The sequence below is a fragment of the Homo sapiens genome, chromosome 3, assembly GCF_000001405.40.
Source record: "Homo sapiens chromosome 3, GRCh38.p14 Primary Assembly".
In the NCBI taxonomy this organism is placed as follows: Eukaryota; Metazoa; Chordata; class Mammalia; order Primates; family Hominidae; genus Homo; species Homo sapiens.
The window spans coordinates 175,404,337-175,422,441 of record NC_000003.12 but is presented as its reverse complement, the minus strand read 5'-3'; the positions used below and the strand labels follow the sequence as shown (position 1 = coordinate 175,422,441).

The 18,105-nt window shown below is 33.1% G+C and overlaps 1 protein-coding gene across 23 annotated transcripts in view; it reads right to left on the bottom strand.

Moving 5' to 3' along the window:
• NAALADL2 (N-acetylated alpha-linked acidic dipeptidase like 2) overlaps positions 1 to 18,105 on the bottom strand; it is a 1,369,567-nt gene that overhangs the window by 388,107 nt on the left and 963,355 nt on the right. The gene's annotated exons all lie outside the window — the stretch shown is intronic.

Below are 18,105 nucleotides of genomic sequence, written 5' to 3'. Positions count from 1 at the left end.
ATAGAGTGGAAAGACACTGTAGTAGTTTAATCCATCTTAGATATGCTTTAAGATTATCTATTTCATGCATTTCTGGGACATGAACAAGTTTAAGGTTTGGTCCTCAATTAATAAACTTTTCCAACTCTCCTCATTCTCTTCCCTATTATATCTTAGGAAGGACTTGTTTACAAAATATGTTGAATTTTTTCTTTTGTCCAAATCACTCCATGAGGTCAACGCATGATTTGCTGCCTTTTTATTCATTCCTATTTTGCTGGCATACTCAAAATAAATTGAAGTCTTTAAATATTTTAGGGTTAGGAAGAATTTAAAAAATCATCTACACGAATACTTCAGAGTCCTAATGGGATTCAAAGACATAAAAAGTAAAATCCAGGCTCCTCAATATAGCCTATGATGGGGTGTGTCCTTCCTGCTCTGGCCTTATTTCCTACCACTGTTTCACTTTCTCCTAGCCTATTTGATATTTTGCTATTCTTCAATCACAGCAGACAAACTCCTTCACCAGGGTATTTGTATTTGCTGTCAGAGGCCTATACTTTGCTTCAAATGTCTGTGGATCACACATTCATTTCCTTCAGTTGTCTTTCTTAATGTTATCTTCTCTATCAAAGGCCTCCTAAATAATGCAACAAAAGTAGCATATATAACACCCTCCCAGGCACATCCTTTATTCCCTTACTCTGCTTTAGTTTTTTTCATAGTATTTATCATGATCCTAACTTGCATTTATTTGCAAATAAGTAAATCAATGAATGAATGAGGCTGTAACAAAAAAGTATGGCTATCCCAAAGTTACTTTGAATGTTTGCTTGCAATCTGTATTTTAATTTGTTTGCCCTTCTGTGTACTCCTCTGTAACACAACAAAATTCTTTCAAATAAAATAAAACAGGAATCCAAGGATTAATTCAGGGGACAATCAGACATTATATTCTCACATTATAGCTAAGCATAAGAAGGTAGATAGGTGAAAATGACCAGCGGTTCTTGAACTTTAGTGTGCATCACAGTGACCTTGAGGACATATTAAAATACAAATTTCCAGACACCACTGCCAGAATTACGATTCACAAGGTCTGGAGTGGAGACTGAGAAATCACATTTTGATTAAGTTCCTAGGTAATGCTGCTGGTACTGCTGCTGTGTGAACAATGCTACGAGAACCATTTGAAAGGTAGAGCATCTATAAGTTGGTATTTCATATTTATAACCACTTTATCCACCCTAGGAGATGGCTCTTATGTGGGAGTGATGCCTGTGTCTGAACTGTATATGGTCTCAAGCAGTAACAATATATATACAGAATGATTTAAGAAATCATTCTTGATATTTTATAATTTCTTTATTATGCAAAGAAAACTTAGAGAATAACTAAATGCAACAATCAAGAAAAAAAGCACGATATATTCTATATCCGTTCCAGAAATATATTATAACTTCTAATTAAATACTTCTAACCTCTAAGTATGATCAGAATATTTCTACTCAGATATTATGAGAAAAAAATTGAATCACTTTTTTATGTGGATGCAGATAGGCAAACATATATACTAGGAAAGAATGGTAATATTTGATAATTTAACAAAGGTCTTTCACTGGTTTTATTGCCAGTTAGATACAACCCCTGACCTGTTTTTAAATTCCTTCATCAAATAAATAACTGTGTAATAATAAAATCTAAAGGAATTTTAAGAGATTGTATAATCCAACCACTTAATGAGCTGTTTGAGAAACAGGAGATGTTCAACTTTATAATGCTTTTCCAATATGGTCATTAGAACTTGGATTGGTATGGAGTTACTTTTTTAAACAATTATCTTTTCAAGAAAGGCTTTTTAAATTTTTTGTTTATTAGCTTTGTTATATGCTGGGCTATTAACAGAAAAAAGTTTTCAAATTTGGAATTCACTGGCTGTATGTTCCAAAGGAAACTCCAAATTGAAATAAATGTTGACCTAAACTGTAGGTCTATCACCTTACCTTGTTTTAACGAGTATGCTCAACTCTGAAATACTGAACCATTTTATAGAAAAACAAAGTTGTAATCATTCAAAAATGTGTCATCTTATTCTGTGACCCTTCAGGTGTAGAAGAATTTAAGTTCAAATATGCAAACGATACCATCCAACCAATTCTTCTCTCAGCAGAGATAGACGATGAAAGTGCCAATCTAAACAGGACTATATAGTAATCAGGCTAAAACATGCAGAAGAGACAAGAATCATTCAAGTACTTCAGAAAAGAAACATTTCTCTCTTTTTTCATGAAAGTAAAGGTATACAAAATTTTAGAAATCATCTAACTGCGGGCATCTGTATATTTACAGATGGGTGATGCTGATGATCAGCCCTGGTTGAAAAATATTTATTGGGTTAGGTCAATGTCTATATTTTGCATCTGAGAAGACTGAGGCCAACGATGTCTGCTCCATCCCTGAACTTTCATTAAAAAAATTCAGAGTATTTTTTATTCTTCAGATAAACCTTGCCTTTGTAGTCCTTGTGTCTAATTGGGTCTGGGACCTTCTACTATAACTGCTTGTTTTATTGATTTTTCTTTTCTTAAAAAAATTGGACACTGGAAATATCACTTCTTCTATGAAGCATACTGCAATGCCACCTCATAGTCAAATAGTTCATCCCCAGCTACTGCATTCCCCAATATAACACTCTTCTCACTTTTTTTCTATATTCCAGACTCAGCAGAAATTTCTTAAATACTTATATCTAGGTCATCATGGGAAAATGGGCAGTAATAAAAGCACCCAGAGAAGGCACAGAGGAACAAAACGGAAATACGATGGCACTATTTTGTTTCCTAATCTTTATCAGGTCTCTCTGAGAACACACTTGAATTAAAATGAATGTTACCTAATGATAGTATATTTGCTAAATAATATGCAGTATACTGGAAGATAGAAATGGTTGGATAATTTTCTCCAGAAATCTTCCAATGCAGGATTTCTAGTAGACCACTTCATAATTTCATCTGTTTATAGGCTTTTGTGCTTATAATAATTTTTTGCTATAATAATTTTTTATATAATTTTTGCTATAATTTTTTGCTTATAATAATTTTTAAAATTATTTTGAGAAATATAAAACAGAGGACATACAAGTATATTATTGAAATATTTATATCATACTGACTTGTATCCAGGTTAAACCTAATTCAATTTATCTACCTGCTTCAGGACAAGAATTTCAAAAACCCTTGTCATATGCAACTGAGAAGGATACTTGAAATGACCCCTCCCCCAATACATTTTTCCCCAGAGGCAGCATGTAAAATGATTATGAGAATTCACTCTGAAGCAAAACTGCTCATGTTTGGGTCCCAGCTCTGACACTTGACAGGTCTGTGAGCTAGAGTACACTATTTAACCATTCTGTGTATCTATGACTCCAAAACATAAAAAAAAAAAAGAAAAAGAAAACAGAAAAGTGATGATCACTCAACAGGAAGGTTTATCACATCTGATACATGTGAACTGCAACAGACAAGCTGGTGGTTGCCTGCCGTTGCTCTCGACTGTTCAAAATTCAAGTGTCTTTGAGTCTCAACACAAACTTTAAAACTATAAAGATTTAATTTGAGTGCCTGAAGCAGAACTATTGTAGAATCTCTTCTTTTTCAAAGCAATATAAAACCAAGTGGAAAAATAGCCTACTGTGATATGTGCTCCTCTTGCTTTCCAATTATCTGCCCCCTCCCCTTTGACCATTATTGTCATTGACTTCACTATATTTCATCGACCAATACCAATTAGGCTATTATGTAACTATCACTTCTAAATTCACAATGAAGGCTGGCATGCCATCTTCCACGGATAATGAGAAAGTGAACCACCTAGGCTACATTACAGGTTTTATACATATTTATTTTATGTGATGCATTGCTCAGAGAAGGAAAAATTATACTTCCTATTCAATCTCATGAAGTTCCTACTTCTAGAAACATTGATCAAAGATGTGAACATTTAATATACTTTATAAATTGAATACAACCACAGATTACTCATAGGAAGCTTACATTGAATCCAACAATAATGCATTGGATGATAACCTTACAAAAGTGGAAAACTTCTTTATTTTTAAAATTTGGCTGAGTATTTGGCAGAGGCCCCAAACTAGAAAACATGTATGTGTTACCCATTAAAAAGCTTCTTGCTCCTGCCTTGAGGCCATGTACTTGAAGTCTGCTATTTAGCAGACAGAAACAAATGTAATCTTTACGAAATCCTTTCCAAAATACAAAAAGTAGATTTTAATCATAACCTCAAAAATACCTAATATCCCCTTTCTCTTTTTCTCTTTTCTGGTCTCATTCTCCTATACTTCAGCTCTCCTTTTTTGATTTCCCAAACTCTTCCCAAACCCAGCCAATGGAGAATTCCCAGCTATCTCTCCTCATCTCCTACTTTACCTGTCCTGCTTATTTTGCTTGCTTTCACCATAACTCCACACCATTCCCAATGTCAATCAAGCAAGGTTCTAAGGAGCTCAATCCATTAAACAGATCTTCATAAAAAGGCTCAGGAGCCCATAAGAAAGGAGCTACTTTTCCATAGCTGGCTTTCAATACTCAATGTATTTTTAATATTTTTGTCACGTCACAGTGTTTATAGGTTTTTATTGATAAATATCAGAATGTTGGGTAAAAGATAAAACTAAATATGTGTTACACACTAAACATTTAATTTTTTAATGTCAGACAGCTCTGAAGTGCCTTTGTAAAGAACTCATTATAATCTTATTTTACATATGTTTCCTCTTCCTTATTTCAGTATTTTAGTTAGAATTTTTAAACTACAGTGCCAATGAGATAAAGCTTATGTTGGGATGTGGAGAGCTAATTGGTTTAAGTCTAAGAGAAATTCTAAAACTGAGATAATTACTGAATTGTTTTTTTTTAAAACTCATTATCCTACTCAGTAGAAATTAATATATCCTAACAATTTAACAAAAATAGTTTTAAAAAATTATTTGAAGGCATCGTTTATTCCAGTTGACAGCATTATGATGATGAGTATTAAATGCAAAACACTTTACTACTGACTATAATATTAATTTTTCTTCCAGGATTATTATTGAATTAAATAATTTATGATGGACGATTAATGTGCTAATTATGTCCACTTTGAGAATTAGTTCAATAATTATTTACTTTCTTCTGCTTCTGAGTAATTAATTAGAGTAGATGCATTATAGTTTACATTGTCTTGTCTCATAAAAAGAAGTTAGTATTATCTATTGAATATTTTAGAAACCAGTGAATTTTGCAGTTTTGGCACCTGGCTGGACTTTTTTTTTTTTTTTTCTTTTCTCTTCCTCTGTATTTTGGCTGCTTGTTTTCTGACTAATATTTAACCCAATTGTAACCAAATTTATAAATATTTTAATTATTAAATATATCATAAACAATTGCTTAGTGCTCTATAAAGTCCATCTTAACACTGATTTATCCCTCAATATTACATTTTTTAATTATTTTAAATTTCAAAGATAATATATAGTCACTTAACAACAATTCAAGTGACTCAGCATCATATATTTATTTGTTTTCACACATTATCATCCACATACATTCACGTATCATAGAATTGCAGTTTTCACACTTTTTTTTGCAATCATCTCAGTTAATACTTTCTCACTTCTGCAAACCTCATATTATTAGAAAATTATGTAATGCAAACAATTTGAATGTAGAAAAGAGCCTTAAGGGCTAAAAGTTTACACGCTAGTGACAAAAACTTTGTTCTTGAATTTTATAGCTATCTGTGTACAATTATGAAGCCTACTTTTACAGCATTGTAGTAAATGTAACTTCTTCTCCAAAGTAAAAAAGGCCTTTTTTCTACTTAACATCAGTGATCTTGTCATTAGCACAATACTTCTTAAATCCTATAACTGTTATCATTTACTGTTATGATAAACACAATTCAAAGTTACTAAAACAAAACTGTTCTGTTTCACATAAATTTTAATTCCAGTAAGGAAGTGGTGATTCAATTAAAACAAATAGCAGTCTTCAGAATGCAAATTATCTCTAAAAATTAACTAATTTTGCTATATCCAATTAAAAAACTAGTGCTTACCTTTATAAAAATAACTCTGTACTATTTTATAATTTACTTTTAATCACAACACAACACTGTAAATATTACAATAGAGCATTAAATGTTTTTTGTTTCAATGTTCTTGCCATTTTAGAAAACTATTGGAAGAATTAATTTTAGCAACTTTTTTCATATACTGATGTGTTTCTGTGAAATATATTTCTGATTGAAATTTTATTTATTTATTTATTTATTTTAAGATGAGGTCTTGCTCTGTTGCCCAGACTGGAGTGCAGCAGCATGATTATGATTTACTGCAGCCTTGAAATCCCAGGCTCACGGGATCCTCCCATCTCAGCCTCTCGGTAACTGGAACTACAGGTATGCACCATCATGCCCTGCTAATTTTTTTTTTTTTTTTTTTAAATAGAGACAAGGTCTCGCAGTATGTTGACCAGGTTGTTCTCAAATTCCTGGGCTCAAGCAATCCTCCCATTTTGGCTTCCCAAATTGCTGGAATTACAGGTGTGAGCCACCACACCCAATCTGAATTTTTTTTTTTTTAATGTATAAAAAAGTTGTTTCTGGCTATATATTGCCTAATATCTAGCCTGCTAGAAGACTTACAGTTACTTATAATATTAATATCAATGATTTAGCACACAAAATTTAAAACAACTTTACAATAACAGTGTTGAGATTTTCTCTTTTGTATTATGTTTTGCTATTTTCATAAGTTTAGAAGATTATTTCAAGGCTGAGTATTACTGTATGAGTTTGTATCTTATGCATGTGTTTGGTATTTTTTATTTAATGTTTGTTTAGTCTTTGTATTTCTCATTGCGTTATTTATTTTCTCACATTCTATATTTTCTACATAAATTATGGTTAACCTGTTTTACCCTGTTAGCAATGTAACAGAGTAAAATAACTAATATCTAAAAGATTACCCCCATCCTGATAGCAAGCAAGAGTACCATGCAGCTTAACCGAGTTGTTCTTTAGTGAATAGCTATCCAAATAGTATTTTTCCCCTCCTGCATCATATAACATACATGGAAAATATATTACAATGAAGTCCAATTTTTTTTTAAAAGCTCATCATCCATTCATCCATTAAATGGTTGCTTATTTAGAGCCACAAAAGTAATGACAAAAACCACAATTACTTTTGCACCAACCAAATAAATTTCAACACAATTATATGAACACACACACAGTATGTGGTATGCTATTTCTTTTTATTTTACTATTAGAACTATCTGTGTATATAAATGAGGGCAATTAGGCTTATATTTACTCAGATATATAGACAGAAAAGTCAAAAGGGAAAAGTCAAGAAGAAAAGTTTATTTTACAGTGATAATCCCGTAAGACAATTTTTCTACTTAAAAGTGTTTTCTTTTGATCAGTTGTAATGTTCATCATTTATTCCAAGTTTACTCTACATAGTGTCCCAGAAGGAGAACTCATCAATATTTAATCAGCTAAATTTCTTCTCATATCTTTTTGTCTTTGCAAAGTGAGCTGTAAGCATTTTCCTGCATAACCTCACATAATTTTCTTATCTTGTAACTCTGTAGATCCTTTACCTTAACCAATTTGGACTTGGATCTACACTAAAATCAAGACCACTTTCATGTTTGCTCTTTTGATATGTCTGCACCTATTGGCTCTTAGTTACCAGAGTTGAAGGAACTTTGAAATGAAACATTTCAAAGTCACTTTTTGAATAACATACTCTTGACTGAGACTGGCACTAACATTTTAACCTTTCTTTTAGCATATAATAATAAGGAGAAGACTTTTGACTTTACGTTTTCGAAAATCATTTGCTTTTGAGAATATTCAATATTATTGAAAGAGATGAATAAGTTTGTTGTTCAGAAAAACAAAAGCAAAACATTTCAAGGTGTAAAAAGTATATAGATCAGTAGTCTATAAGTAGCCCAAATTTGTATTAAACATCAAAAAATAGAGGGACCAAAAGATACTAAATATTTAAGAGGAATTAAACACACATAAGGTACCGGTGCACTAAATATTCATATACTAAAAATACATGAGCATCTAATATTCATAAAGCCTTAATTCACTATTCATCATTGACAAAGATTCTGGCTCCCTGCGTTTTTTCTCAAAGAAACACAAATAAAATCTATGACTGGTCAGCAGGCTGATTGGCAAACTATAGCTATGAGCCAGGCATACTGTTCCCGTGTCTTTCCCACAAAGCAAACACAAGTTATTAGGCTACCGTAAATCCCCCTCTATGGGCTCCTTTGTTTGAAACCACAACTCTAGGCCTTACAGCCATTTAGCCAATGGGGAAAAATGGATATGGCAGAGAGTACACACAAACATAGTGATATGGACAGAAGACAAGGAAACACTGGGTAGAAGACGGTGGTTCCCCAGCAAAGGCCCCAACTCTCAAGCCTGAAGACCCACAGTTCTAAATGGGGACAACAACAATAGTATACTCCAGAATTCAGGTATTTTGGTCTTTTCAACATGCTTGCACCTTATTTTTTATTTTTATTTTATTTTATTAATTAAAATAAACCTTTTAACCTATCCCATCTCTCTCTCCTTTGCTTCTCCCTATGTTTTAAATCGATTTAAAAACTATGTGATCAGAGCAATTTAATTTGGTCTATGAGTCTCTCTGTTCCATGACGTCCAGGTAGTGAAACTGGAGGCTGCCTTTGTCTCAAGGTAATTTTCTAAATGACAACTTTTATTTCAGTTAGTGCTCATATCCTCAACATTACCATATAGCACATGTTTGGGATTTTTTTTTTTTTTTTTGATGGAGTCTCGCTCTGTCGCCCAGGCTGGAGTGCTTTGGCGCAATCTCAGCTCACTGCAACCTCCACCTCCTGGGTTCAAGTGATTCTCCTGCCTCAGCCTCCCGAGTAGCTGGGCCTACAGGTGACGCTACCATGCCCGGCCAATTTTTTGTACTTTTAGTAGAGATGGGGTTTCACCGTGTTAGCCAGGATGGTCTCTATCTCTTGACTTTGTGATCCGCTCTCCTCGGCCTCCCAAAAGGCTGGGATTACAGGCATGAGCCACCGCGCTCGGCCTAATTTTTGGTAGTTTTAATGGAGTCGGGCTTTCACCATGTTAGCCAGGATGTTCTCCATCTCCTGGGTTTCACTGTGTTAGCCAGGATATTCTCCATCTCCTGACCTCAAGATCTGCCCACCTCAGCCTCCCAAAGTGCTGGGAGGCCAAGGCGGGCAGATCACGAGGTCAGGAGATTGAGGCCATCCTGCCTAACACGGTGAAACCCCATCTCTACTAAAAATACAAAAAAATTAACCGGGCGTGGGAAGCTGAGGCAGGAGAATGGCATGAACCCGGGAGGCGGAGCTTGAGGTGAGCCCAGATTGCGCCACTGCACTCCAGCCTAGGCGACAGACAGAGGGAGACTCCGTCTCAAAAATAATAATAATAATAATAATAATAATAATAATAATAAATAAATTAAATAAATAATCTGATTCCTTAGTATACCAGAAATTAGTCTGACCCAAAATGTCCCAATACTTGAAATAATCAGATGGATAATTTCAGAAATGGCTGATGTTTATTGAAATTTAACACAAGATACAGAAAAATGCATATGTTTTTCAAGAATTTAGAATTTTTTTCTCTTATTTTATTTACTTATTTTTGAGATAAGACCCATTTGAGCCTTATGTACTGAAGGAACTGATTCGTTAATGAGAATGTTCAAAACACCATCTGGGTATTTTTTTCTTTTGTATTTTGATGTTTCATAATGATAATGCCAAGCAATGAGATATGTAAATCTGCTCATTTCTTGGAAAGAAAAACTAATATCTAGGAGATAACCCCCATCCTAATAATAACAGGCAAGAGTACCACTCAGCTTAACTGAATTGTTCTTTAGCAAATAGCTATCCGAATACTAATTTTTTCCCTCCTGCATCATATAACATACACTGAAAATATTTTTACAGTAAAGTTCAATTTTTGTAAAAGCCCAAACATCCATTTATCCATTAAATGCTTGCTTCTTTAGAGTGATGTAAATTCCAACACAACAAAATTATATAAACACACACAAACTATACGCGTGCACGTGCACATACATAATCTATCTTTTGTGTCATCCTTAGCATAAAAAGGGGGGAAAAGACTGTAAGAATTGGTAAAGGGTGTTCCCACACTTGTTGAGACGTCAACTTAGAATAAAAATACGTTGATTATAATTCAAATACAAGAACAATGTTGAATTCAGACTGTCAAGTGACTGCTAGCCAGAATCAGGATTCTGACTCAGACAGAAGTTCTCCCTTTGGGCAGAGCCTTGGGCATTTAGAAGCAGCCTGCTATCTTCGATCAGGGTTTACAGAATTTATCTAGTCTTTTTGAATTTCTGGCTATGTGATCTCATAATTTGACTCTAGCCCTTCCTCTGCTTGGAAGTTGTAGAATAAGCTCTGGCATCTTGCAAGCAATCTTCACAGAGCCAATGCACAGTTAAGCTCCCAGTGGCTCTGATGAGTTGATCTCCCATTGTTGAACACAAACATTGACCAATTAGTCAGTGATACAACGTAATTGTTTTTAAAATAGTTCATTACCAGACAAAATTAAAATACTTTTGTTTCTGATTTTGGACATCTTAGCTTGTGACTGACTGGATTTCAAATGGACACAGTCATATTCTGCCCCGTTCATCCATCCCTTTTCTTTGTTACAAAATGAAATTTCTTCACATGAATCACTCTCTATGATTACAAGCATTTCTCCTTCTTGTTTGCTTATTCAACTCCTCCCTTATACAATTTTATTACAAGTTGGAGGTCTCCCAATTCTGTGTCTTAAGCTCTCATTACATTTTACTTCATTTTTCCCCCATAACAATTCCTCCACACCCAGGCCTTCAATTCGCACATCAATAGAGTTGACTCAAATTTTTACCCCCAGTCCGCACTCTTCTCTGAAAATCAGACCAGTATTTCTAACATACATACTACTTAATCCCTCTTCCTGAATTTTTGCAGGTATCACACTGTGTGTCAAATGTAAATTAAGAGCATAACTCAAAGCTGCTCTACTTCCTGCAGTTCCTCTTAATGCAATGTTCTTTCAATTCACCTATTTTTGCATGCAGAAACTAGTAAATTATAGGCCACCTCCTCTGTACAGTTTAATAGAGAACACTGCTGCCCCTTCCTGATACTTATCTGTTGATTCCACTCATGTGGTTTAAATCTTTACTGCTACCTCTCTATTCTAAGACTATAATCACTCTCGTCCAGAGCTTATTGACACACTCTTTCATTGCCCTCACTAGATCTGTTCTTTTGCCCGTCTAATGGTCCTATAACACCGCATCCAAAAGGACTTTATGAAACATAAATATGATCGCTATAACATTTCAATGGCTTCTTATTGTGATGTCTATCCCATTACCTTCACCCTCAGTTCTATCTTACATCCTGCTCTCCTTTACTCTTTGCAAAAAAGAGGGCGTCTGTCCACTTTTTCACGTTTGTTCTTTCACAGCATCGTAACCTATGCCGCTCACTGTAAATCTGAACCACCTGCCGAGTTCTCTAAGCTAAGGCATACTTATGCCTCAGATAATTGTTTATTACTCTCTCAGGAGAGTCGTCCCTGACTTTGACTTCCCATAAAAGTCTAGGTTGGGCTACCAGCTATATGTGCTTACTGTATCATGTAAATATGTTAAAATTCAACATTTTTGTGAAATTATTTAAGTGGCCATTTTTTTTTCCTCTAGACTAGAAGCTCTGTAAGAGCAAGGATGTTGGGTATTTTTGCTCACGTTTCCCAGTGCTTTAACAGAATGCCTGGCATGAGTAAGTCCTCCATAAACATCTGTGGAATAAATCAGTAGGTGAGTGTAAGAGAAGATCTGTTTCCTGAATTTTTCTTTGGAGTTCTTGGTTCTACATCAATTAGTGTTCATACAGAGCTTCTCTGTGGGTTACAACTCAACCATCTGGAATCTTTTAAATGAAACTTAAGAGATCATTTCAAAAGATAAACAACTTTTAAGAAATGTTTCTATTAAAATAGTGTATGTACATAGTTTCAAAAGAAGACTACAGTTGAGCTTATGATAAAAAGTAATCAATTACACGTTCTTCCTGTTGGACCCCAAGCCCATTTCCCAAAGGCACTGTCTTTAACTATGTCCACATTTAGTGCTTTTGGTAATTACTTTTATAGCACTATTTCTAGATTTATGAATTATTTAGACAATATAAATTTATTTCCTGATATACAAAATGAGATTTTAATTTAGGCTATTCTTTCCTATCTCTTTCCAAAGCTTAATCCTTATACAATTATGTTTGGTTATTTAGTCACTTGTCTTTCTACTTTTAAATAATATCTACTTCTTTAACTTCATTAACCTTCCATATTTCAGCAATATCCCCTGATTCTTCCCTTTGAATGATGAATTTTACTTTTAAAACTTTGGACTTTGTGATTTTACTCTAATATTTTGAACTTTCCTGATAAAGGTTATATTAACAAATGCATAATCTAATTATGTCAGTGTTCTTTCTCTAAGTTTATACATCATTAAATATGTCTAAAACAAGAAAAAATTGCTCTGAAAGTAAAATAGTTAACATGCTATACATATCTACTTTTTTTAATAACTGAAAAATGTTGAACTACCTAAATTAATGAATTTACAAGTCATCTAAAATAATTTGGTAAGTTCTTGGGAGGGAGATTGGTAAAAAAAATGTTTTCCTTCTGTTTGTTTAAATAACATAAATTACACCTAGATTTCTTGTAATCTTATACTTATATATATTATTTCAAGTAATTTATAATAAGGTCTACCTGAACTTAAATTTAACATACATATAGAATTTTCACAGGCAAGGTGAGTCAACAATATGGGTAAGATCCACTCATCATAAGTTATTGATAAATATCACTCAAAATGATGACTAAAGATTTTTAGAAGTAAAAATGGAATACAATCACAAATCAATGACATCCTGGACAACTTTTGCCACAAGTAGGTAGGCACTTAGCTCAATTAACATATTTATTTTCTTTCTTTTTTTTTAAAGTAACAAGTAAAAAAGAGAATCTCTAATGACTTTTAGAAATTTCTCCATGTCTCCACAACTATAGAGTTTATGGTTTAATAAGATTATGTTTTTAAAATAAAACATATAAGGTTGATATTCAGAATACATAGAAAAGGAAACACCTAGAGTTCATGTGGAAAAGAAAAATCTCCATGTGTAAAAAAGTCATTTAAGAAAATACAATAGTGGCTATATACATTTTAAAGTAGGAAATGTAATATAAACTAGATGGAAAATTAAGTTGAGTTGGACAAAGATATGTGGGTATAGTGTAAATAACTGTAAATAAAACCCAAGAAAATGAATGAGGCTTAGTCATAGTTTATGAATAAGTGTACTAAGATTCTATTAAAAACTCAGCAATCCATTCACTTCAATTTTCTCAACTTTTTCATCTATTTGACTACCTATTCCAGCATGTGATTGTTTACTGCCAATACAAAATGTCCTTTAACAGTAATTCATTCAAATAAGAGAAAAAAAAGAATAGAAGCACATTTTAGGATTTTGATAATGACAATACAAGGTCATTAAAGAGATGATAACATGTTTATGCCCCTCAAAATAAACAAGACCAATCTATTTTACCATAACACAGTCTTTATGATTATTCAAAACACATCATCGCAGTATTCATTCTGAAACATTATATACAATCTCAGTTTCTTTATTCTTTTGAAATTTTATCAGGTGCTCCAAGTGTAAACTGGATTCTTTATTATTTCAAAGGCAAGTGTCAAAGAAAATGGTCATTCCAAAGCAGTAAGAATGCTATCCTGGTTATGAGATATTAAATATTTGTTAGTTTTTATATATGTTTAAATTTTTAAATTTCTGTTTAATACACTAATAATAATTGTATATATTTATGGGATACAAAATAATGTTTTGATTTTTGTTGTGCATTGTAGAAGAATTAAATCAAGCTAATTAACATATTCATCACCTCACTAACTTTTTTTGTCCAGTGAGAACATTAAAAATCTACTCTTTTATCAATTTTGAAATATACAATGCATTGCTATTAACTGAAGTCATCATGCAGAGCAATAGATCACCAAAACTGAGTTCTCTCCTATAAATAAAATTTTGTTCTCTTTGATCAACATGTTCCCTCTTCTCATTCCTTCCCCTTTCCCCTGTTTCTGCTAACCACTTCTTACTCTGTTTCTATGAGATCGACTTTTTAAGATTCCATAATGAACTCATAAAGTATTCGTCTTTGTGAGAAAAAGTTACAAATTAGATTTTATTAAAACAATGTTCAATGACCAAATCACCACCAAGTAAATTAAAACTATTGGCAGACCATTACAAAAATATCATCTTATAATAAGAAGTTTCTAATATACCTTTTTAAGATTCCCATTAGAGTACTAAAAACTAGGTTAGACAACCTGTTACTAAGCTGTAACGACAAGACTGATGGAACTTAATCGTGAAATCAATTAGAGGTTCACTATAGCTTATTGGCAGAAAATAAAACAAACCGATTTACCCAGTTTCATGCATCCTGATTTAGAAATATAATCTATAGCATCCAGAAACCATTCCTCAATTGCATGTCTGTGACTACTGCAGTCCGAAGCCAGTGGACTGCCTTTCTCACTTTCTCCCTCTAGTGCTAAGTATCTCTTTTTCTATATTTATTTGCAGAAAATATTTCCTAGAAAATGAGTGAATGAAAGGAAGGGTAAATCACATTGCATTATAGAAATGTATTTTTCCCTGGGTAGTAGTAGGGAAACATCATGAAGGTAATACACATTGAGGTTTGTAATGTAGAAGTATATATAAAACATATAGAGTGCTTTGCTTTCCTTGAGATCAGATTATGTTAAAACTAAGTACATGGAATATAAGCAGATTCTTCTTTAAAATGAACTCAGCCACATTCTGTGAATGTCTGATACGTGCTAAGAATGTGAATGTCAACTGGGCATCAACCACCTATCAACCATATAATATAGCTTTGTTTCAGAATAAGCAAATAAGAGAAAAAATGATTTATCATGGAAATCAGAAGAAAATTTCAGATAACTAGCTGACACTTTTATTATTTTATTTTTTTCAGATGGAGTCTCGTTCTGTCTCCCAGGTTGGAGTGCAGTGGTGTGATCTTGGCTCACTGCAACCTCTGCCTCCTGGGTTCAAGCGATTCTCCTGCCTCAGCCTCACAAGTAGTTGGGATTACATGTGCATGCCACTACACCTGGCTAATTTTTTTTCTATTTTTAGTAGAGACGGGGTTTCACCATGTTAGCCAGGCTGGTCTTGAAATCCTGATCTCTGATGATCCGCCCACCTCAGCCTCCCAAAGTGCTGGGATTACAGGCGTGAGCCACAGCGCCCGGCCGACACTTTTAATAAAATGCAAAAATCTATGATTTTTATTTGAATAAAACTGAACCAGGAAGCCATAACAAAAGAATGAAAAAAAAATGCACAAAATGTGAAGGAAGTGGGTGGGATAACAAGTGGAAAATAGTCTCAAAAGGCAATAGGAAATAAACTTCAAAAATAAAAGACAAAGAGGCACACAAGGAAAGGTTTGATGGTATATATACAGGATAGAAAATGGAGTACAGTCCCACCATTTATGTAATAAGTAGTATTATGTAACCACTATTATGTCTTTATGTAACCATATCATTTTCAAAAAGGGTAATAAAGACATATTTATAATAATGATATTAACACTGACATACTTTGCTGAAATAAACAGTAATGAGAAATTTTACCTTATTCAAACCTACTGCAAGACTAAAGTTATTTAAGCAGCCACTTAGGCAGTCCCACCTTTTTAATGGATAGAAGGAAAATTCATTTCACATTATCAGTTTCCCCCAAATTAATCTCTAACTTCACAGAGTTCTAAAAATGTTGTGTCTTAGTCAGGAGTGACAGTACTCAAATAAGGATACTCTACCCAATGGTTACGTAGCTGTATTTAAACCCAAGTTTGGATAATTGTCTTTAACAAATTAAATCCAAAGTTTAAAGCTAAAAATTACAAATTGCTGAATAATTTTCTTCCTGCCCAACTCTCTGACCTAATTTCACATCACCGTCTTTCTCATTCACTCCATTGTCATTTTGCAGCTATTACCTTGGTTTACTTTCTTCCTAGTAGTAATCATGACCGGAAATTATGATATTATTTGTTTAAGTGTTAGTATCTGTACTGCAACACCGGCTATAAACTCCATGAGGGTAAGCGCCTTGTCTGTCCTATTTATTACCAAATCATCAGCACTTACTATGTTCCCCGCACTTCTAGCACTGCCTGGACCTTAGCCGGTGCTCCATACATAAATAAATGTGAATAAAAAAAGAAATATGCAAGTAATCTCTAGAATCAAGAATAAAAAATGAAATAATTTTTACCACAGTATTCATGTTTAAAATCACTAAGAAAATATTAAAACGAAGTTAATTACAGCATAGTACTTAACCTCATAGGATTATTGGCAGATTAAATGAGACAATGCACACAAACAATGTAACACAAGGCCTGACAGCCAGGAACATAGGTGTTCAAGAAACGTTCTTTTCATTCATTGTTCATTGTTATTTCTCCAGCAAAATGTGTGTAAAGAAATTATTAAGTCACCAGGATTGATAAATTTTAATGTGTGCCAAATATATTGAAAGAAAATATATTAGAAAGAAAATATTAACACATTTAATTATGCATAAGAAATTATCAAAAGAAAGTCTGCAAAGTTTTTAAATAACATTAATAATTTATGGAAAATTTCATATTTGAAAAAAAATTATCGTATATAAACCTTAAGTTCATCTCAGTAACATTAAAAGTTTGTGCATATTTACTAATGTTCAAAAGAGTTAAATTATTGTTACATATCCTCCTCAAAATGAGCTTACTAAAGTATACATGGCACTTTCTTTGGCAATTTAGAATCATGTATCTACCTGAACACCACCACAATAATTATTTATTATGTTGAATTATAAGAGGGTCTTATAAAAATAACTTACAGAGATAAAATTATAAATTAAATGCAGGTAATTATCAAAGCAAAATCTTCAAATTAACTTTATGTTTAAAAGATGTTTAAAGTTGCATTTTAAATCTTGAAGAACACTACTTCTATTGCTAATATAGACATGTGCAGCTTAAAATGAATCAAAATCTATATATTCATGAGTTACAATGAATTAAGCCCCACAGGATAAAGTTGGATATAGGTGATTGTATAGATTGTACTATTAAGTAATAAGTTTTTGTGAAAATCCATTTCTATTTCAAGTCATCTAATTTGCCTAGTGAAATTATAAGAAAGATAATAAAATTAAAATATTTTCCTGGAAACATATTTCATTCAAATACAACTGCAAGTGATTAATTGCTAGCCTCAGTAAATATAATGTTCCCAGAAATGTGTGTTGCCAAAGTAATTTATCTCACCACATGGATAGTAGTAAAGTGCTGATGGTCCTTGATATATGAGGTCAACTTGTACATGGTTCAGATGCAGCTTTAATGAAATTCCATTTAGAACTGTAACCATAGATATTCTCAGCAGTTTACAAAAGCAGGGAAAAAGGACTTTACATTTTTCTATGTGTCATAGCTACTGCTAGTATTTCCATATTAAAGGTTTCATGCGACTTAGTAAGAATTTAAATCTAGTTATTGTGTTACATGTACAGTTACCAGTAGATCATGTGTAATGTCAGTCAACATATACCTTCTCTGACTCTCTACATTGCATTGCTTTGGATATGTATGTTCTTGTTTGGAGGACACTTAGACTCACACGGCTTTTGCAACTGATCTTCCTTCAGAAGTTGTGGCTATTCGACGTTCAGGAATACAGATGGGTAACAGTTATTTGGTGATTATAGGGCACTTTCATTAGCAAATTATTATATTCTGTAGGCAGAAAATCAT